The sequence below is a fragment of the Homo sapiens genome, chromosome 3, assembly GCF_000001405.40.
Source record: "Homo sapiens chromosome 3, GRCh38.p14 Primary Assembly".
Classification (NCBI taxonomy): domain Eukaryota; kingdom Metazoa; phylum Chordata; class Mammalia; order Primates; family Hominidae; genus Homo; species Homo sapiens.
In genome coordinates, this window is record NC_000003.12 from 7,915,548 (window position 1) to 7,916,702 (window position 1,155).

Sequence of the window (1,155 nt, forward strand, 5' to 3'; positions counted from 1 at the left end):
CTCCCCCTCCTGTAAGGGGTTTGAGCAGCAACAAGCCACACCCCTGTCACACGTCCTCTGAGGGGGGTCAGGGAGCTCTCCCATTTCAGTATAGCTAGTTAGATAAAGATCAACACTTTTGCAATTTGTGAATCTACATAATTCTCTGATAATCCCCAAAACCTCCTTGTACAACTTCATCTTTGTGATAGTTTCTTTTGTGTGAGTTTTTCACACAATGGCATTATCTTTCCATTTAATAGGTCTACATAGTTCCAGCAGGCCTCAGAAGTAAATCTCCCCCAATTCTATACCAAGCCAGTTACAATCTTCTTGACTACTCACTAATTTCAGGTTAAGGGCAAATGCACTTAGTTAATGCTATGATACAATATTTTAACCATCAAGGAAGTGCTCATTAGAGTAACAAAAGAATTTAAGTGATTCTGATACAGTTAACAGTGCAAATGCTTCTGATTCTAAAGATTAGTATTGACCCCTCAAATCCATCTCCTTCAAAGGACATCAGCTATTGCAAAGTTTCAGAATCCTGCTTCTCCCTTTTCGTCTTCCTTCTTCCCTCTTTCATGTAATATTTGAGTTGTTATCTGAAGCACCCAGCTGAGGTCTTTGGCTTTTTTATTTCCATTTCAAAGTGCCTGGCTTCTACACAGATCTCTTTACATTTTAAATAACACTTACTTGTTTGCAGCCTTCTTACATTGCATGTTTGGAAAACACATGCTGACTTAAATCATTCCCACTTCCTTCATTTAAGTGGCCACTAAACTGATGCTTCAATGCTCAGACCTAAGCCATTTGTCCTGGGTAAGGTAATTTAAGGTAATGGAAATTAGGCTATGAAAAAAAAAGAATCAGGTTCTCCAGAAGGATTGTAATCGGTAACTTAAAATAAAGGTTCTCTGGATGGTGAAACCACTTTTTGTTCTTATGAAAGATTCCAAGAGAATCCAAGAAACTTCAAGCTCGATTTCATGTTTATAAACAATATCTTTCTACACACTAGTTGCATAGGATAGACTCTATGTATATGGGTCCTAACCCTTGGAGGGAATGAGAAGGGTAGAGGGCTTTACGACTTTTAGGCAACCTTTCCCCTACACTGTAAAAAAGATGGAACCTTCCTACATACTCTCTCAACAAGAGCTTCTCCAA

General features: G+C 38.6%; 1 annotated feature.

The window, feature by feature from the left end:
* Positions 239-910: an enhancer, noted in NCBI's record as "NANOG hESC enhancer chr3:7957473-7958144 (GRCh37/hg19 assembly coordinates)". NCBI's record gives its function as "activates a minimal SCP1, AML or CMV promoter by ChIP-STARR-seq in naive H9 embryonic stem cells {active_cell/tissue: H9 hESC(naive)}" and the evidence as "EXISTENCE:reporter gene assay evidence [ECO:0000049][PMID:30033119]".